This window comes from Homo sapiens, chromosome 17 (assembly GCF_000001405.40).
Source record: "Homo sapiens chromosome 17, GRCh38.p14 Primary Assembly".
Taxonomy (NCBI): domain Eukaryota; kingdom Metazoa; phylum Chordata; class Mammalia; order Primates; family Hominidae; genus Homo; species Homo sapiens.
Window position 1 is genome coordinate 58,049,936 of NC_000017.11, and position 19,490 is coordinate 58,069,425.

General features: G+C 47.5%; 1 long non-coding RNA gene across 3 annotated transcripts, besides 1 other annotated feature; it reads right to left on the minus strand.

The window, feature by feature from the left end:
* Window positions 1-430: 430 nt before the first annotated feature.
* On the minus strand, window positions 431-10,009 carry LOC105371840 (uncharacterized). 3 transcript variants are annotated; one of them, XR_001752950.2, is made up of 5 exons: window positions 9,713-10,009; window positions 9,332-9,623; window positions 3,610-3,853; window positions 3,008-3,184; window positions 431-2,114 (listed from the first exon to the last, which is right to left on the minus strand). It is a non-coding gene; the product is annotated as an uncharacterized LOC105371840 (long non-coding RNA). The 3 variants fall into 3 exon arrangements; XR_001752951.2 differs by having other exon boundaries at window positions 431-3,184; window positions 9,525-9,623; XR_001752949.2 differs by having other exon boundaries at window positions 431-3,184.
* Window positions 2,370-3,569: an enhancer, noted in NCBI's record as "CDK7 strongly-dependent group 2 enhancer chr17:56129666-56130865 (GRCh37/hg19 assembly coordinates)". NCBI's record gives its function as "activates an origin of replication core promoter dependent on BRD2, BRD4, P300/CBP, MED14 and CDK7 cofactors, with strong dependence on CDK7, by STARR-seq in HCT116 cells {active_cell/tissue: HCT116}" and the evidence as "EXISTENCE:reporter gene assay evidence [ECO:0000049][PMID:35650434]".
* Window positions 10,010-19,490: the final 9,481 nt, after the last annotated feature.

The window sequence follows — 19,490 nt, forward strand, 5'->3', positions numbered from 1 at the left end:
ACTGGCTTCTTTCTCATTTGACCCAATACTGAGTTTTAGTCTCTGACTCTGGCCCTTACTATGTGCCCATAGGCAAGTGACATAAGTGTGGCTTCATCTGTAACAAGGGGATATTACTAGCTTTTATCACATAGAACTTCCTAGGTGGCAGGCAGTATAATAAAAAATATAACAGGCCGGATTCAGTGGCTCACGCCTGTAATCCCAGCACTTTGGGAGGCCGAGACGGGTGGATCACCTGAGGTCAGGAGTTCAAGACCAGCCTGGCCAATGTGATGAAACCCCATCTCTACTAAAAATACAAAAATTAGCCAGGCGTGGTGGTGCACACCTGTAGTCTTAGCTACTTGGGAGGCTGAGGCAGGAGAATCACTTGAACCCTGGAGGTGGAGATTGCAGTGAGCCGAGATCACACCACCACACTCCAGCCTGGGCGACCGGGTGAGACTCAGTCTCAAAAAAACAAAAAAACAAAATTTGGTTTTCATGCCCAGTTCCTGATACAGAGCTCCTAGAACCCTTGGAATTTCCAGAGTGATTTTTTGTTATTGATAAGGAGCCTCTTTAAACCACACCTGAGTTTATGCTCATGAGATGGCCCAGGATGGGGTCCCTAGAGAGCTTCAAGATGGGGGCTGACCACCAGAAAGACCACGATTAGAGGGAAGAGGGTAGGAACTTTCAGCCTCACTCTCCCCACCACCCCCAATTCCTGGAGGCGGAGGAGGGCTGGAGATTGGGTCAGAAAATCTTTTGAACAAAGAAATTCAAAGAGTTCCAAGGTTGGTGAATGCAGAAGACAGAGGCTTCTATACTCGGCATCCATTCAGATCTTGCCCTGTGTAGCTCTTTATCTGGCTGTTTATTTGTATCCTTTATAATAAACCAATAAATGCAAGTTGTCCTAATAAATTACTGAACCTCTTCGGGGGTGGTGTGGGGATGCCTAAATTTGTAGTCATCTGGGCAGAAGTGTGGGTAGCTTGTTATTTGCAGCTGGCACTGGAAGTGGGGGGATTGATCCCTTTAACTTGTGGGAACTGATGCTAACTCCCGGTAGTGTCAGAACTGAATTGAATTGAATTGCTGGACACCCAGTTGATGTTGGAGAGTTGGTTGGTGTCAGAAAACACCCCACACAGGCACTGTCTTAGCACTAAGTATTAGCTCAGTTGGTCCTTTTAACAGCCCTATGAGATACATGCTATTACCATCTGCCATGCACATGCATTTGTGTGTGTGTGTGCATACGCATGCACTCAGATCCTCTGCTTCTCCTCCTAACTTGGTTGTGCATATGGCTCCTTAATAGCCAACCCAGTAGTAACTCCCACCCCCTCAATTAAAACCTGGACTGTCCCTTTGTGTCTCACTGGCTGTCAGGCTCTGTCCTGCTACTGCTCCCTGTGGCAATCATCTACTCTCTCCCCATCACTCCCCCATTTGTGAAAGACATGAGCACCTGGCTCACTATCAGTCTGTTCATCACCATACTCAGCATCATTCCTGGTCCGTGTCTATTAGATGACCCCTCCAACATTCTGCCTCCAGTTAATTAATCTTCTCACCACCAGTGACCTGTCCCTCCCTGCCTGCCTCAGCTGCCCACTCCCATCATCTAATGCTAGATCTTATCACCAGCAGTAACTGTGCCATGTCCAAGATCTCCATTTCAAGCAGCTTTCTCTGACCACTACCTCATATCTGTTCAACTTGCTTCCCTTGTACACCCACTCCTACACTCTTCCCCTCAGAGAACTTCCTTCCACACACTGGTTCCCCAGTCCTTTCACTCACGCATTCCTCCATGCTGTCACCTCCCTCACTTCTCAGCTTATAATCCATGGTCCAGCATGATAAATATACTTACATAAACCCTGGGGCCTTGTAGTGACATTAAAATATGTCTGCAAGTTCTTTGATGCTTGTACTCATCAGCTTGGCTGCCATAACGAAATGCTATAGAGTGGGTGGCTTGAGCATGGATTTTTTTTTTCTCACAGCTCTGGAGACTAGTAGTCTAAGACCAAGATTCTGTCCAATTTGGTTTCTGGTGAAGACTCTTCCTGAATTGTAGATGGCTACTTTCTTGCTGTGTCCTCACGTGGCCGTTCCTTGGTGTGTGAGCACAGAGAGAGAGACAGCAAGCTATTTGGTGTCTCTTCTTAAAAGGAGATGAATTCTATTGGATCAGAGCTTTATGATCTTATTTAACATTATGATCTTATTTAACATTAATTTGTTTCTTAGAGGCCCCATCTCCAAATAGAGCCATACTATGGGTTAGGGCTCCAACACGGGAATTTGTGGCGGGGGCAGACATAAACATTCAGTCCATAACAACACTACTCCCTCCAAAAGGTGGAGTCTAATTCCCCTCCCCTTGAATGTGGACTGGACTTAGTGACTTGCTTTTAACAAATATAATGCAGCAAAAGGAACGCAATGTCACTTCTGAGCATAGGTCAAAGAAGGATAGCTTCTGATTAGGTCTCCCTCTTGGACTGGTAGCTCTGGGAGAAGCTGGTTGTCAGGCTGTAAGTACACTCTGACAGCCTGTAGAGGAACTGAGTTGTCCACCAACCACCACTACTGACTTGCCAGCCATGTGAGTGCACCACCCTGGAAGCAGATCCTCCAGCCCTATACAAGCTTTTAGATGACTGTAACCTGAGGTAACATTTGACTGCAGCCTCGTGAAAGACCCCAAGCCAGAACTGCCCAGCCTGAGCTGCTTCCAAATTCCAAACTGTGACCCACAGAAACTATGAGGTAATAAATATTTGTTGTTTGGGAGTAATTGTGTTGGAGTCATGTGTTTCACAGCAATAGATAACAATGACAACCATTCTGACCTTCTCTCTCCCAACCTATAGGCCTAGCAAAATCAACACTTGTCAAATGTGACTTTTAGCTATTTAATGCCTGCACTCCAGGTGTTAAAGGTGGCTGGAGAAAAACACAGAGCTGTACTGAAAGGTTTCCCTTTAAATTCATCACCACTGACCTCAGAGGACCACATTGCTGCCATATTGCTGCCCAGCAATCCTACACTGTTTTCCCCAGGCAAGTCGCCTCTCCTACTCCCTCTGGCAGATGACTGCATCACGCCTCCTTTCTTTTCAGGCCTGCACGCAGTTCTCCTTGCTTCTCACTTTCAGCTGATGACATCATTTTTCCCCCACTGAAAAAAAAAATCAGAAAAGAAAAAAAAATCACATCCTCCCACAACCAAAAATACCAGCCTCCAGAAGTTGTGCCCACGTGCCCCACCTTTCCTCCTCTCATGATGAATGAATCGTCCATGTGTCTGTCTGAGGCCAGCCCCTCCTCTCGCACACTGGATCCCTTCTTCTCTTGCTTGTTAAAAAGCATCACTCCAGCAATTATCCACTCTCTCATCTGCAGCATCAAATTTTCCATCTCAACTGGATCATTCCCATCAGCATACTGATAGGATATAATAACTCTCAGCTTTAAAAAATATCCTTGACCCCACATTCCCTCCAGTTGCTTCACCATTTGCTAACCATTCAGAGCAAAACTACTGTTTCTATTTCCTCACCTCCTAGTCTCCGTCACAGGCTCCAATCAGCCTTTCATCCTTACCATGGCAGTGAAACTACATTTATCAAGGCCACTGATGACTTCTGTGTTGACAGATTCCATGGTCAATTCTCTGTTCTTATTTGACCCATCGGTGGCATTTTAAGTCATGTGATCACTCCTTTCTTCTTGAAACACTTTCTTCAGTTGCTTCCAGGACACCAGGGTCTTCCAATCTTCCTCTGACTTCACTAGCTGTTCCTTCTCCATTTGTCTTTTTTAGATTTTCTTTTTCACTTTTCACAACCTGTAAAATTGGAATGGCCTAGACCTTAGCTCTTGAATAGCCTCTGTTCTCTTCTCTTTCCTTTCCTTATGCTCCCTCTTCTGGGTGGCCTTATGTGGTCCCAAGGCTTTAAACACCATCAACATGCTATAGACCTCCTATTTATGTCCCTAATCTAGAGCATCTCCCTTGAGCCCAGGATGAATAAAGGCAAAATTTGTGTTCATTTTCCTCCCTTTTTGGCACATCTCTCCTCACCTCTCAGTGGTTTTCCTTTCTTCTGATATCCAGTTTATTCATACTCAAGGGTAATAGATAGGATTAAAACATTACCTACTGCTTAGCACACTGCCTCACACATAATGGAAATATTAATCAAATGTAACTAAATTACTCCTTTCAGGGAACAATATTTATATTTGGCCTAAAGGCAAAGTTACGCCTTTCTACTTGTGAAATTTCAGATATGGGCATAGATGGTTTAATCCTACTCAGGCCTGGGATGGAAATGGGGGGATGGGGTGTGGGTTTTTGAGGGTGATAGGCTTTTCTAGAATTGCTTAAATCAAGCTGATCACAGACTCAGCCTTTCTGTAGGGTGTACTTAGTGTTTTCTCTACCTTTTTTGGTGTTGTTATGGCCAAGATGAAATAGAATGCCTGGGTCGCTTGGCAAAGCCCCACCCTGAGTTTTAGTGGTGGCTGCCTGGTGGTGTTAGTCCAGTGGTTAGACCACAGTAGTGACAGGCTGCAGATTCATTTTCCACTTAGCTTTTCACAGAGAGACCCTGTTCTTCAGCCACTGATTGATCCCTTAACTTGGTCAAAAATTGGCACATAGTCCAGCCTAAAGATTCAAAGTTAGACCTTGACATTTGGCTGAATCATTTTAAAAAGTTTCAAAGGTCAGAACGTCCATAAATAAGAGTACAGTCCTTCTCCCATGCCCTCTCTAGTTTACCATGATAAAGTGAGAGTCAATGAGGTGACAAAGCTGTGGAAGTCCTGGGGCACTGGATCAGTCAAGGTCCTGTCACTCAAGGCAGTGAGGCGGGTTGGACAAAGGGGCGATTTATAGGGCCAAGGGAAGCAACATTGGGCAGGGAGGCACCCAGGGCCAGCAACAACAGGGAGTCACTACCGCCTCTAGGCTGAAGGTGTAGGTGGGGAGCACTGACCAGATTCCAGGGACAGCCACGGCTGTTGGAGAGCTGCCTGTGACCGGAGCCTTGGCCACCCATCAGCCCAGCAGGATGGGAGATGACAGAATGAACATCTTGACTTTCTCTTCGTCCTTTCCATCTCTTATAAATGCTTCCCATTGGCCAAACCCAACTAGGAACCAGATGGCAAGGGAGCCTATTGGTATAGACCACATAAGGCAACCTCTTGGATCTCGGAGCAGAGTGGAGAAGTCTGGAGAGTGCAGCTGAAGGAGCCAACAGTGAATATCCCACAGACTTGTTCAGAATTACAACTCCAGGGTCCAAACCTATTAGAAGGCAATGTTCTCAAGGTAGATGGTTCATGGACCCCTGTCTCCACCAGCAAAAACAACTAAAGCCGATGTTCTATGCTTCAAGATGGGGTACTAGAATAACCCTCATGTATATGAGACTGGAAGTCTGCTCCCTAATGATGCTGATTAGGGAGCATCAATAAATCTTGTGACAGGGACAAGATTTATTGAAGTGTGAGTATTCTAAGGAACATTTTAGCTTGATAATCTCATATCTGGATCTTCTGGGTACAGTTTTTTTTGTTTTTTTTTTTTTTGAGATGGAGTCTTGCTCTGTCACTCGGGCTGGAGTGTAGTGGCGTGATCTTGGCTCCACCTCCCAGGTTCAAGTGATTCTCCTGCCTCAGCCTCCCAAGTAGCTGGGATTACAGGCACGTGCCACCATGCCTGGCTAATTTTTTTTTTTTTTTTTTTTGAGATGGAGTCTTGTTCCATCTCCAGGCTGAATCTCGGCTCATTGCAACCTCCAACTCCCGGGTTCAAGCGATTATCCTCCCTCAGCCTTCTGAGCAGCTAGGATTACAGGCACACACCACCATACCCAGCTAATTTTTGTATTTTTAGTAGAGATGGGGTTTCGCCATGTTGGCCAGGATGGTCTTGATCTCCTGGCCTTGTGATCCACCCACCTCGGCCTCCCAAAGTGCTGGAATTACCCACGTGAGCCACCAAGCCCAGCCTAATTTTGGTATTTTTAGTAGAGATGGGGTTTCACCATGTTGCCCAGGCTGGTCTCGAACTCCTGACCTCAAGCGATCCTCCTGCCTTGGGTCCTCCCAAAGTGCTAGGATTACAGGCGTGAGCCACTGCACCTGGCCTGGGGTACAGAATTGGGAGAATGATGGGAAGAAAGACTGGGAGAAGAGGGAAGGACCTGACACAAGAGGTAAAGTCAGCCTACATAATAAACAGCTCAGAAGGAGGGGGATATTTAGGTGCTGGACAGAGTACAAGAGCTTCAGGCATGTCAAAAGCCCTTAAGCAGCTGGCCGTGAGAGAATTAAGGAAAAAGTGGCTTTAGAAAAACATTGCCAAGTGTTTCTATCTCTTCAAAAGATACAACAAATACTTGGAATTTCTTTTAAAATTTCTTTCAGTTGCTGAACTATGTTCCTTTCTCTATGAGCCTCCAAGCAGAGTCTGGGCCATGTGGGCCCTCAACTGTTATTGGAGTCACAATAAAAGACCTTCTGGATGGTTCTGGCAACCAAGGACTGGCCAGAAAGCACTCCACACACCTCATCCTCTGTCCTCTGCATGATAGCACACAAGCCTGGAAGCTTCTGAGGACTTAGCTTCCTTCCAAGGGGTTGTAACCTTACCCAATGATTGCTGCAAAATGGAAGGGATGATTATTTTACCTTTGGCACAGAAGCCAGAGCAGGTAAACAAGTTGTTAGTCACTCAATAAGTCATCTACAGATGCAAGGAGACACAACCCAGGTCTCTGGACTCTGTGTGGCCTGCATTCTGCTCAGCTGGCTGGCTGCAAATTCTATTTCCTTCCCTTTCTAGGAAATGAAAATTCTCCCCTCTCCTTCCTGAGAAGGCTCAGGCCTGCTTGGTTTAGGTTTTCACCAAGGGACTGTGGGACAAGACCAGATTCTGAGCCTTTACAAAATCATTCCTTTAGTTCTTAGTTCCTTTCTTGAAAGCAGTTTAAAGTGTGCAGGGGCAGGAGACTAAGCCCTAGGACTAGGACTTGGGGGTTCTGAGCATGGGTGCATGACTATAACATGATCTGAATTTCCCAGCTATGCAGCATACTCTGTCAGATGTGGGCTCTGATCCGGATGAGATATTGCTCAATCTGGGCTAATAAGATATGGGGAGACATTGACTGAGGGGTTCTGGAAAGAAGTTTCTACTTTCTTCCATGATGACTATTTAAAAAGCAGCTTGCTGTCTCTCCTGAGAGTGAACAAAGTTGCAGACAGCTTTGGTTGCTGCTGGCAACCACATTGCAACCTAGAGGATTGAGAGTTTTAGGATGAAGTTGACATCATGGAAGACAGAGTGGAAAGACAAAAAGAAACAGCATAGAGCAGATGGATCAGATCTTGCATAAAGCCCACCCTACCTCAAACTTCTTTTTAATTGTAAAGGACCAATAGGTTGATTGTTTAAGCCAGTTTGAGTTGTGCTTTCTGCTACTGCAGTAAAAACCATCCATTATACTGATACATTATGGCAGCTCAGATTCTCCACGCTGTAGGCTCAGGAACAGGAAGGCACAGTCTGGTCTGAGAAGATTCTGTCCTGATGCAGGTAATGTGTTGCTCTTTCTTTGGTGGGTGGCAGAAAGGTCAGGCAAGTTCATCTTGCAGCTTGGGGAGAAGAAGTGATGAATTAGGTCATCTGGCAAAGGCATGGCTGAAAGGATGCCTCACGTACTTGAACATGATGCTCTGGGGGCTTAGAGGGCTTGGGCTGCCAGATCCATGTGGGCAGGTGTTCTTTGCCTGAGGTTCTTGAACTCCTAGGGTTCCATGGAAGAGTGTCAGGAAGTCCATGAAACCCTGAAACCGTATGAAGAATTTTGTATGTGTGCATTTTCATCAGGTTTTCAAAATGGAAGAATTACTGCCCTATGTTTAAATGGTATATGACCCTCTAAACCCATCTGCCTCCATTTCTCCTTGTCATCAGACAGGATGACTAGTCCTTTTTCTTCTTACTTTCCAGAAGGGATGAACATATGAAAGATCTTAGAGGGTGGATAAACCTATTAGATGGAAAACATCTTTTTTAAATTATCAGACAGAGCCAAGCTATGAGGAGAGGACTTCAGGGGTGTCCTGAAGTGAGAAAGTCCATCTGAAACTGAAGACAGCCAGGAGCATAGATGAAGAAGAATGACAAAAGTCAGACATGTCCTTTCTGTAGGAAATCCAGGTACTTGGATACACATGAACATATACGCTGCATGTCATGTATGTATATGGAATAACAACGTTTGCATTGTCTGATGGTTTCCAACAAGTATTTTCATAACATTGCCTCATTTGGTCTTCATACAGACAATGGGAGCTGGGTCTCACACTTTTCCCCAAGGTTCAGGAGGTGAAGTGCCTTCTTCACCATCTCTCCGTAAATGGTGATGCTGTAAATGAAATTCACGTATTCTGTTTCCTTACCTGGTGCACTAAGCCCTATATTAGTCTAAACCTGGCTGACCATCAGTATCACCTGGCTGCTTCTTTAAAATGCTTGGGCTCCACACCAGTTCTAGAAATTCTGATTCAGGATGTCTAGGACAGGGCCTGGGTATTTGCATTTCTGGAAGCACCCCAAGTGAAACTGAAGACTATTTAGGTTTTTAGAATTTGGCCCTTGCAGGGGTTGGTGCATTGATACAGTGGACTCTTAAAAGATGGGCAGCTGGGTATGGTGGCTCACACCTGTAATTTCAGCATTTTGGGAGGCCAAGGTGGGAGGATAGCTTGAGCCCAGCAGTTCAAGACCAGCCACGGCAACATAAGGAGACCTCGTCTCTACAGAAAATTAAAAAAAAAAAAAAATTAGCCAGGGTGGCACACAGCTGTGGCCCAGCTACCCAGGAGGCTGAGGTGGGAGGATCGCTTGAGCCTGGGAGATCGAGGTTGCAGTAAGCAGAGACTGTGCCACTGCACTCCAGCCTGGGTGACAGAGCAAGACTCTGTTTCCAAAAAAAAAAGGCAAAAGTAGCAAATCTCTAGTGGTGGAATTTCAGGCTTTGAGGCAGACAAATGGATGCAGGATATATTTTGGGGAAGGGAGACATCTTGTTATGATGTGTGGTAGCTGTGTATTTGCCACATGGCTCTCCACCACAGAACTTCCCACATGAATATTACCTGCTTGGTGTATACTATACACATATAATGTCAACAAAACTCTCAGAATGAAGAGCAAACACATCTAATAAACATGTGGATTTTTAGAGCATGCAAGCTTTTTTAGGGAAAAAAATATGGAAGCATTTTCAGTGTCAAGTCTCACCACGAGGCAGGCTCTTCAAGCTGGAAGAAAGGCATCCGGAAATACGAGTTTGTCATGGAAACGCTGATGGGGCTTCAGCTGAGTGATGCTCACAGGTGCAACCCAGAATGGCACAGCCTCTTGTGGCTTATTTACATCCCAGCCTGCTGAACGAGCTCACTTTTCTTGTTGCCTGGCCCTGGGGGCTTCTTACCAGGAAGAACTGTGGCTGTGGCTGTGTTTCTTGGTGGAGATTTTCAGCAGGAAATTACAGGGGGTCTTAGGATCAGTTTCACATCTGGGAGAAAGGCTCCTGGAGAGAGTGGAGAGATGAATGAAGTAAAGAAGGAAGAAAAGGAGGGAAGGAAGGAAAACATACTGATTCTAAGTGCCAGGACCTACCCAAGGAGAACACAGGCATCATCTTCATGTCTTCATCACCATCGGCTGTAACCCAGTGAGGTACCTAAGGTTATCCCTGTGTTACAGAGAAGGAAACAGGCTGGCGGCACCCAGAGGGGAGCTGACAACCACATCCTTGGGTAGACTAGATGGCCAGCGGTGCAAGGATTGGGAAGCTTCCCCTGAAACCACCACTTTGGCTGACACCAAAAACCCTAGAGCAGGGAACAAAGGCCTTCTCTTGACAAGCAGGGAGAAACCTAGAGAGGCCATTCCTCCTGGGAGAGCTGCATGCTGACTCCCCTGGGTCCTGTCAGGGTGGATGACTGACCACGACCCTGTGCTGCGGGCAGGCTATGGTCCAGGAGGGACACTGGGTCCTTGAAGATACAGGTTCTCTGTTCTTCCCAGCTGGGCTCCAGGAGTCACATCAGGAGCCAGAGAAGGGCATCAGTTGCTTTATGGAGCCAATAGGTGGGGCCTAAGAGGCTGGGGGAGGGAGTTGGGAATAGGAAAAGGTTGTCTGCCTGCGGGACGTTTCCATTTGGCAGAGAAAGTGTGGTCCCTTAGGGGCTCTCAATCCAATCCGACAGGAGAGACAAGAGCTCTGCACACATGGAGTCCAAGAAAGATGGAGGAAAGAAGACACAGGCCAGAGATTCTAGGAGCTCACAGACTGGACAGGGAAAGACCTGTTTTTCCCGATCCTGGCCACAGACCCAGAGGTCCCAACCATCTTGGGAACTGCCCTGGACTCTGGCAAGAGTTAGGGTGAGACCCAGACCCCCCAAGTTCTCTCCTACACATCTACAAGGCCCCCAGAGTGTTCTTCTACAATGCTTTCTATCAGAGCCACCTGCTCCTGGGGGCTTGCAGCTTTGGCCAGGACCAGTGAGTGGCTCTGCTGGGAGGCTGCTCTAATTAGGCCCAGGGTCACTCCCCAGCCCCATCTGTCCTCAGCAACATGAGTCCCACCTTTTCCTCCTCACCAGGAGCCTTGGGAGCTTGGGAGACATTCCAAGGCTGGCTCTGACATGAATTTGCTGCACAGTGCGCCAGGCGATCAGAGCTGACTCCTCTCCCTTTTCCCTTGGAGGTGTTGATAGTAACAGCAGCGATGAGCTGCCAAGTTGGCAGGAGAACAGAGCGACTGTGCACTGCGGATGGAGGGGGGCGGGAAGCAGCAAGCCGGCAGAGGGCTGGGCCAGAACGACAGTTTGTTTATCCTGAAATTGAAAGGGTCCCTCCAGTCTCAGCCACCAGCATCTTGCAGGAGGGAGGGTGACTTCCTAGAAGGTGGAGGCTCTGGTGGGAGGCCCAGGGTTGGTGATGTGGGTGTTGCTAGAGTCGGGTGGGTGGAAGGGATCTTTTGGTTGGGCCTGAAGCCATCAGCCAGCCTGGCCCCAGAGGCAGGACAGAGACCCACCTTTGTTCCTGCTGTTGAGGTGGCTGTGGAGTTTCTAAACTGGAATGGACCTGGGGTGGGGAGCTAGAGTTCTGAAGCTGCTTCCTCCTAAATATAGAGACCTCAAGGGGCATTTAGGAGGGTACTCATGCTCTGTCAATCAAACGAACCTGGGACCTTGGGCAAGTATTTGAATCCTTTGAGCCTCGGAGATTAAGAACATTTACTTTAAAGCTTTGTGTGAGGATTCAATAAAGTAGTGACGGCAAAAATTTGTTTCCTGTTTACTCCAGGGCAGACATGGTGCTAAAAGCTTTCTGTTTGTGAAGCATTTAATCCTCAAACTTTATCAGGTGGGTACTATTTGTATTCCTATTTTATGAATGAAGTAACTGAGGCACAGAGGGGGTAAGCAGCTTACTCAGTGTCACAGAGCTAATGAGTAGCCACAATGGGGATTTGAACCTAGTGGTGTGTTGCTTAGGCCTATGTTCTCAGCCCCTGTAGAAACTGTCTTCACAGTGCAACTGAGTTCTGAGCAGGGTGCCTGGCACAGAGCAAACATTTAATGAATGTTAGCTACTATCATGACTCCCCTAGAGCAGTTCCAGACAGGGGACCTAGGCTCCTGATATCTATACCAGGGACTCCCTGGGGTCCTAGGTTGTCCTCTTTCCATCTTTTGTCTATACTATCTTGCTCATCCTAGGAGCTGGAGGAACTTCTCTTTTGGAGAGATTGCTGCTGGTCTTCCCTGCTTCTCTCATCCCCTCCTCCCGAAGGCAGAGCAGAGGAATTCTCGGCTTCTTCCAGTTACCCTCAGCCTGCAAAGAAAACATAGTCTGCTGCGTCTGCTGCCAGTTCCTCTCTGGCGACAGCCACAACCCATTTGCTCAGCATCAGCCCCAGCCTGTGCTGTGGGTAGAGCCCGGAGCCTGGGGCAGGACCCCAGTGCCCTGTGTGAGAGCCTGGGTCAGTTACTGTAAGGCTGGGCCTTGGGGGCCACTCAGAGGGAGAGGCATGGCCCACATAATTTCTTGAAGACTCTGGCTGTAAGAGTGGTGACTGAAGGCTGGTGTGCTGTATGCATAGACTCTTTCTTTTTTTTTTTTTTTTAGGCGGAGTCCCTCTCTCTGTCACCAGGCTGGAGTGCAGTGGCACGATCTTGACTCACTCCAACCTCCACCTCCCAGGTTCACGCCATTCTCCTGCCTCAGCCTCCCAAGTAGCTGGGACTATAGGCGTCCGCCACCGCACCCAGCTAATTTTTGTATTTTTAGTAGAGATGGGGTTTTACCACGTTGGCCAGGAAGGTCTTGATCTCCTAATCTCGTGATCTGCCCGCCTCAGCCTCCCAAAGTGCTGGGATTACAGGCGTGAGCCACTGTGCCCGGCCGCATAGACTCTTTTTAGGGTAGGAAATCCATTGTATAAACATGTTCTCAGTTTTGGAAGGTTCATTAATACAGCCATGCAAATTGGTAACCAGCTTTACAAGCTCACTAAACTGTGCTACTGGCCACCCTAAGGTGCCAGACAAAGAATCCTGTGCCACTTTCTGCGTGGCCAGAGCTACCTCCTGTCAGCTGCGAGATAGCCAAACCACAGCCAGGAGCCCAGATTACTGACTGCTCCCTAGGCCCGAATTCTTCCCTGGGACGATGAAACATCAGGCATTTGTGTGGGGGAAAGGAACTGCAGTGTGGACATCTCAGAACAACACTGTTTTGTTTATGTAAGCTGTGAGGCATTGTGGGTGTGCTGGCTACAGAGTCACCCCCCTGTTTCCATCACATACGAGAACTGATGACAGGAGATCAGGTAGCGTTGGGAAGCTGGGGCTAAAACTCTGCTATGGACTCAGAAGAAAATGGAATATTCTAAATATTATAGAATAGACACAGCAAGGATACAGTATCTTCTAGTTAGAAACTTTTAATTAAAAGAATGTTCACTCCATAGGGATCAGCTAGAACATGATGGTCAATAATTATAAACAGCTGAGCATGGTGGTGTGCACCTGTAATCTCAACTACTAGGGAGGCTGAGGCAGGAGGATCACATGAGGCCAGGAGGTCAAAGCTGCAGTATGCCACGATTGTGCCTGTGAATAGCCACTGTATGCCGGCCTGGGCAACATAACAAGACCCCATCTCTAAATTTTTTTTTTAATTATGAACAAAAAGGACAGTCACAACCCAACAATTCCTTTACGATGCTCACTACACAAGCAGCACTTAAGACTCCTTAGGCATGGGAGTACTCTCTGCCTGGGCCAGGGAGGTGGAAAGGAAACTGAGGCACCAAAGTAGAAGAGAGGTCCTGAGATGTTTCAAGGCACACATAGAAGGTAGTTGCCCGTCACCACACAGGGCTGATCACCATCTTGGTCTCTGGGATCTAAAATATTCAACTTGGGTAGTAGTTCATTCTTGTAAACCCAGCACTCTGGGAGGCCAAGGTGGGAGAATCGCTTGAGCCCATGAGTTCAAAACTGGCCTGGGCAACATAGCAAGATCTCATCTCTACTAAAAATAAAAAATAAATAAAGTTAGCCAGGCATCATGGCGGCACATACGTGTAATCCCAGCCACTCAGCTGAAGCAGGAAGATCCCTTGAGCCCAGGAGTTTGAGGCTACAGTGAGCTGTGATCGTGCTATGGACCCCAATTTGGGCAACAGAGTGAGACCCTGTCTCAAAAAAAAAAAAAATTCAACTTGGTTTGTTGGAGATTTGCTTTTTCCAGTGTTGTAACAGAAGTCAGAAAGAGAAAAGAATGCCTTACAGTCAACTCGCTGGCACACACCTGTTCTGTAAAGTAAGTTACAAGGGTCTTAGTTTACTCTGCCCAGAAATGCATTTATTCTATGGACTTTGAGGGGCTCATTCACAATACATGACAAATCGTCTGAGGGGTGGGTGTAGTGGGAGACTCTCTCGAGGAGTGGAGAACAACTGTCTGCTTCCCGCTGCTGGTTCAATTTGGTGCCAAGCAGCAGTCAGAAGAAAGGCATGAAACCAGGCAAGGTGAGGAGCAAAAAGCCGGAGCTGAAAGCAGAGGGCAGAGTTGACCATGAATGAGAAAATTAAGGTCAAGGCAAGAGCTACAGGGTGTGGACACCTGCCTACCTGCCTGCCTGTGAGAGAACCCCATGGGACTGGGTGTCAGGAAGAGGGCATGCTCCCTAGCACTTGACCTCCTGGGATAGGGCACAGCGCAGAGGCAGGGGGATGCCCGGATGACCTGTGAGAGAGTTCTTTCCCTCTGGAGGCCTTGGGAGGAAGCCAGAATGGGCATGCAGAAGTGGGTCAAGGTTCAATTTTCCTGAAGAAGCCCTGAGCTGGAGACAGGATGCATTGACTTTTTATTTATTTATGAGGCTATCGATTATAATGCAGCTTTTCCACAGGATCCTGAGGCAGCTCGAGTTGGGAGAAGAAACCTCCTACCAGTTCACTTTCTCTGTCCTGGAGATGTCAGGTGTTCAGATAGGCTGCCTCCCTCCCTCCCTGGTGGTTCTCTCTCCTCTCCCTACCCCTCTGCAGCCCTCACCTCTGCACACCCTGAAGGATGGAGGCTCCAGAGAGTTCCTCTAGTCTCTCGGGTCTGGCTGTTCCGGGTTCTTTCCAATATTTAGGGCATATTCCAATACCCCAAATCCTGAGAGCACAGGCTATGTGCTCCACATGAGTGGATGAAAGATTTCTCAGTTATAAAAGGCCTCTGAGATCTTCCTAGCAAAACACCTTTTTACTGAGAAGGAACAGAGGCCAAGGAGAAGTGATTTCTTCCAAGTCACACAAGGTGAGAGGCACAACCTGGACAAGAATGAGGCCTCTCGATTCCCCCAGGCGACAATCCTTTCCACTCTAGCACGCTGCCTCCCAACAGGATCCCTTTTACTTGAAGTGAACCCCCAGACAGATCCTTAATGCCCACTCTTCCCCCTCAGTCCAGGGTTGGGGTGCCCCTGAGCTGGGAATCACTCTCGGGAGCCCTTGCTCTCTTTGGCATTCCCCCAGCAGGCCTCTCCTTATTTTGTTTTGCACTTGATGACATCTTTGCTCTCAGTCTTCCCCACTCCCAAAGAGGATCGAGGAGGTTCTGCTAACTGCAGAGCAAAACAGGGGGTCGTGATAATGACCACAGGCCTGATCAGCCTCGCCTGGCCTCTCCCTCTGGCCTCCCCATGGGCCACCTTTCCTGAGGCCTCTTCCAGTCTTTGAGCCCCAACACTAGCCTTCTGGTGAGCAGAGATGCCATGTCCACTAGTTCCTGTGAACAGAAATGGCTCTTCTCTCTTGGCCCTGATTGCAGAGCTCAGTCTCCTGGCAGAGGCAGGAAGAGGCCTGCCCAGATGGACAGAATCTAGGATGCTGGCCAACACTGCACCATTCCCCGAAGGCTGCCTCCCCAACTTTGGAGACCCTGAATCTTGGCCTAATTGGATATGGCTCTAAAGATGAGGGCCATTGCTTAGGGCTGGGCTGGCTCTTGGCCCTATCAAGATTGTCTCTGTCAGATGCAGGGCCATGCACCTGTAGTCCCAGCTACTCAGGAGGCTGAGGTGGAAAGATCATTTGAGCCTAGGAGTTTAAGGCCAGCCCAGGCAATATAGCAAGACCACATCTCTTTAAAAAAAAAAAAAGACTAACACAAAAACAAAAGATTGCCTATGTCCCTCTACCTCTCCTTAAGTTCATTTTGCCATTCGTTGTTCCAGGGTTTAACCCCAGCCCAACTTACTGTCTTTATTTCATATTTCTTCCCTTCCTACAGGCTATGCTATAGCCAAAAGGAATTTCATACAAGCACTGCATTTTCTTCCTTTATTCCTATTGTTCTATAATGTCCTACCTTCTTGCTCCACACAAGTCGAAAACTCATGTTATAAGCTACCTTCCCTGAGTATAGCAGCTGATGTTTGTTGAGCATCTACTATATGCCAGGCACTGCACCTTTTCCTCACAGTGACCTCAAAATTCTCCCAATGTATCCTAGGGTTATACAATGAGTAGCAAAGTCAAGATTTGAACCCTGGCCTGTGTTCTTCAGAGTCCATACTCACAGCCGCTACACCATATTGCCTCTCAGGAAACAGGTGTCCTTCCCTACATTACCTTTCTCTGACTTAGGATTTGATTAGCACGTCCCTTACCACACATCACTTTTTGATTTTTACTGTAACTACTTAAATCATATCCCTTAGTTTCCTTATTAGACCACGAGCTCTTCAAAAGTAAGGGCTGGGTGACATTTGGTGTCCCCACCACCAGGCCCAGCGCTAGCACAGACAGGTTTAATTAACTGCATTTCAAATGAAGGAATGAACACATGACTGAGTGAATCTGAATTGTAGTGAGGGTTAAAGTCTGTCCATGGTGGAATAGGGAGCTGGAACTTGCTTTTCTGAAGGCCTCAGCCTCACGCCGCCTTTTAAAAGGCACCATGGGAAAGGAGGAGAATGGAAGAGTTTCATAGATGAGTGAGAGCAGGAGCACAAACCCCTGCATGTCTGTAATTACAGAGCCTCTTGATGCTGGCTGCTGTTGGCAGCATGCTGGGGAACGTGTTTTCAGTCCTCCAGGTTGGGAACTGCTGGTACTACTGATTGCTTTGTGTGATCTGACATGGCTGTGAAAGGAAAAGAAAGAAGGGGATAATAAAACCTCCGAGCAGTGGCCTTGCCAGCTGTAGGGCCTGCTCCAAGAGCAAGGGCCTCCAGTGTGCACCCCACCACTGAGACTCGCTTTTGGTAGGGCAGAGGGGAATCTAGCCACCTTGTCTGTGCTGGACCCTTTTGGGAGCAGGATCTCCACATGGAGCAGCCCAGGGCAGGGTGGTCTCCGGCTGGGTTAAGGGCAGTGTCAATTCACCGGGAAACCTTCCAATTTGGGAAGAGGTTGCAGGAGGTGGTAAGGTGTAAAGTTCTGGGGAGAGGACCTGAAGTGTGGGCCTCATCTGCAAAGGAGGTGTGTGTGTGTGTGTCTGTGTTCACGCTTGCTTGAGTTAAGGGAGGGTGCCCAAAATGGGACTGTGCTCCGTCCTTTCAGGGCCCTGAGGTTCCCTGGTGGGTCTATTTTCTCCAAGGGTCTGTTCAAGATTTGGCTTTTCTGGGCAGGTTTAGAACAGGCAGATCTGGCTCCTGAGCCGTGGCTAGGAGGATGGGGCTCTGCCTTGATATGAATCCACCTTTGTGGAGAGAAAGTGCACTCTCACCCACCATTCCCAGCCTCCTTTCCACAACTGCCTGTTCACCTCCTGCCCAAACCAAACAACAGCCTCAAAACACTTGCCTTCACATGACTTCACTTGACTTTTACTCTGATACTTGTATTTTCAGAGCCCATTTACACCCATTTGCCTGCTTCCATTCTTATAACAGGCCCTCCAGGGGTACAGAAAGCAAAGATTCTTTTTATTATAGGTGAGAAACTGAAGCCCAGAGAGGCTGTGTAACTTGTTTCAGGTCACGCAGCAAATTAGCAATGGAGCCCCAGGGTTCACTGCTCTGGCTTCATGACTCCAAGTTCTTTTCCTTCTTCAGTTCTAGGTCCCTACCCACCTGTCTCCTGAAAGGAAATCTTCACAGAGAAGCTCACGCTTCATTAGTAACATGCACATCAATTCTCCTGGTTCTGGGTCAAAAGCAACTCAAAACTGGCACCCTCCTTACTCTTTCCTCCTTATCTCCTTCCTCCATTTCTACCCACCTCCACCCCACTCTTAAGATGCTCATCTCCAGCAAGAATCCTCAATATGGCTCTTGCTGAAAATGTGGGGTAAACGCCAGGGTGCTTTCCTGGGAGGAGAGCCAGTGCTGTTTGTCCTTCCTAGGAAGGAGGAAAAGACAGCGGTGGCCTGGGTCCCAATAAATGGCCTGTCCAGGCCTGGAGAGGGGCTGAAGACAGGGTGATGTGTAAGGAAACTCAGGGATATGATTTAAATAGTTACAGGGTGATGTCTTACAAGTTTCCCTTTTCCTCACACCTCCCAGACTGGTAACCTAATGGTCACTGGATGGCCACCTCTTTAAGACTAAGAAGTCATCTAGCCTGGCTCTACCCTCCATTTGAAACTTTGTCTACATTTGGGATGTTATGCATTGATTCATTCATTTATTCAGCAAATACTTGTTAACGGCTGACTATGCACCAACGTTTGCTGTAGGTGCTGTCGACACCACAGTGAACGTGACAGGCAAGATTCCAAACAGTCTGAGAAAAGAACATTGTTCTTTGGCATACTGTTTTTGGCGGTGAGGTGGGGTGGGCAGGATAGAGAAGTAATGGGAGCTCAGAGAAGCAGGATAGCTGAGAAGGCCTCTCAGGGAAGACATTTGTCTACGCTGAAGCTAGAAAGATGAGCAGACCTTTAAGCAGGCGAAGAGGGGCAAGAGTGTTCCAGGCACAGTGAACAGCATGTGTGCAGACCCAGAGGCTACAGACCCATAGTACACTGAAGGAACTGAAAGAAGCACACATGACCTGAGTGTAGCATGCAAGCGGCAGATGAGGGGAAGAGGGGGTAAGAAATGAGGCTGGATGGTGGGGCAGGGACTGGGTCAAGAAGGGCTTGAAAACCATGTTGAGTAGAATAAACTTTATCCTACAGACAATAAGCCACTGAAAGCTTTTAAGAAGATATGTGACATGTTCAGATGCATGTTTTAGAAAGAGATTTTTTTGCTTTTGTGTGGATTGACAATTTTCAATAGAAATATAATGAGAGCCACAAATGGGAGCCACATATGTAATTAAAATGTTTCTAGTAGCCACATAAACAATGTAAAAAGAAACAAGTGAAATTAATTTTAAATAAATTAATTCAACATATAAATATACTATGATTTTAACATATAATCAACATAGAAATACTAAGATATTTTACTTTCTTCATATTAAGTCTATGAAATCTGGTGTGTATTTTACACTTATAGCACTTTTTTTTTTTTTTTTGAGATGGAGTCTCGCTCTGTCGCCCAGGCTGGGGTGCAGTGGCGCGATCTTGGCTCACTGCAAGCTCCGCCTCCTGGGTTCACGCCATTCTCTTACCTCAGCCTCCCGAGTAGCTGGGACTACAGGCACCCACCACCACGCCTAGCTAAATTTTTTGTATTTTTAGTAGAGACGGGGTTTCACCATGTTAGCCAGGATGGTCTTGATCTCCTGACCTCGTGATCTGCCCGTCTCGGCCTCCCAAAGTGCTGGGATTATAGGCGTGAGCCACCGCGCCCAGCCACTTGTAGCACATTTTGAATTGGCCTAGCTACCTTTTGAGTGCTCCAGGCCACATGCAGTTAGAGACTATCATATTGGACAATGCAGATGTAGAGAATGCATTTGACGAAGCAAGAATGGGTGTTAGGAGA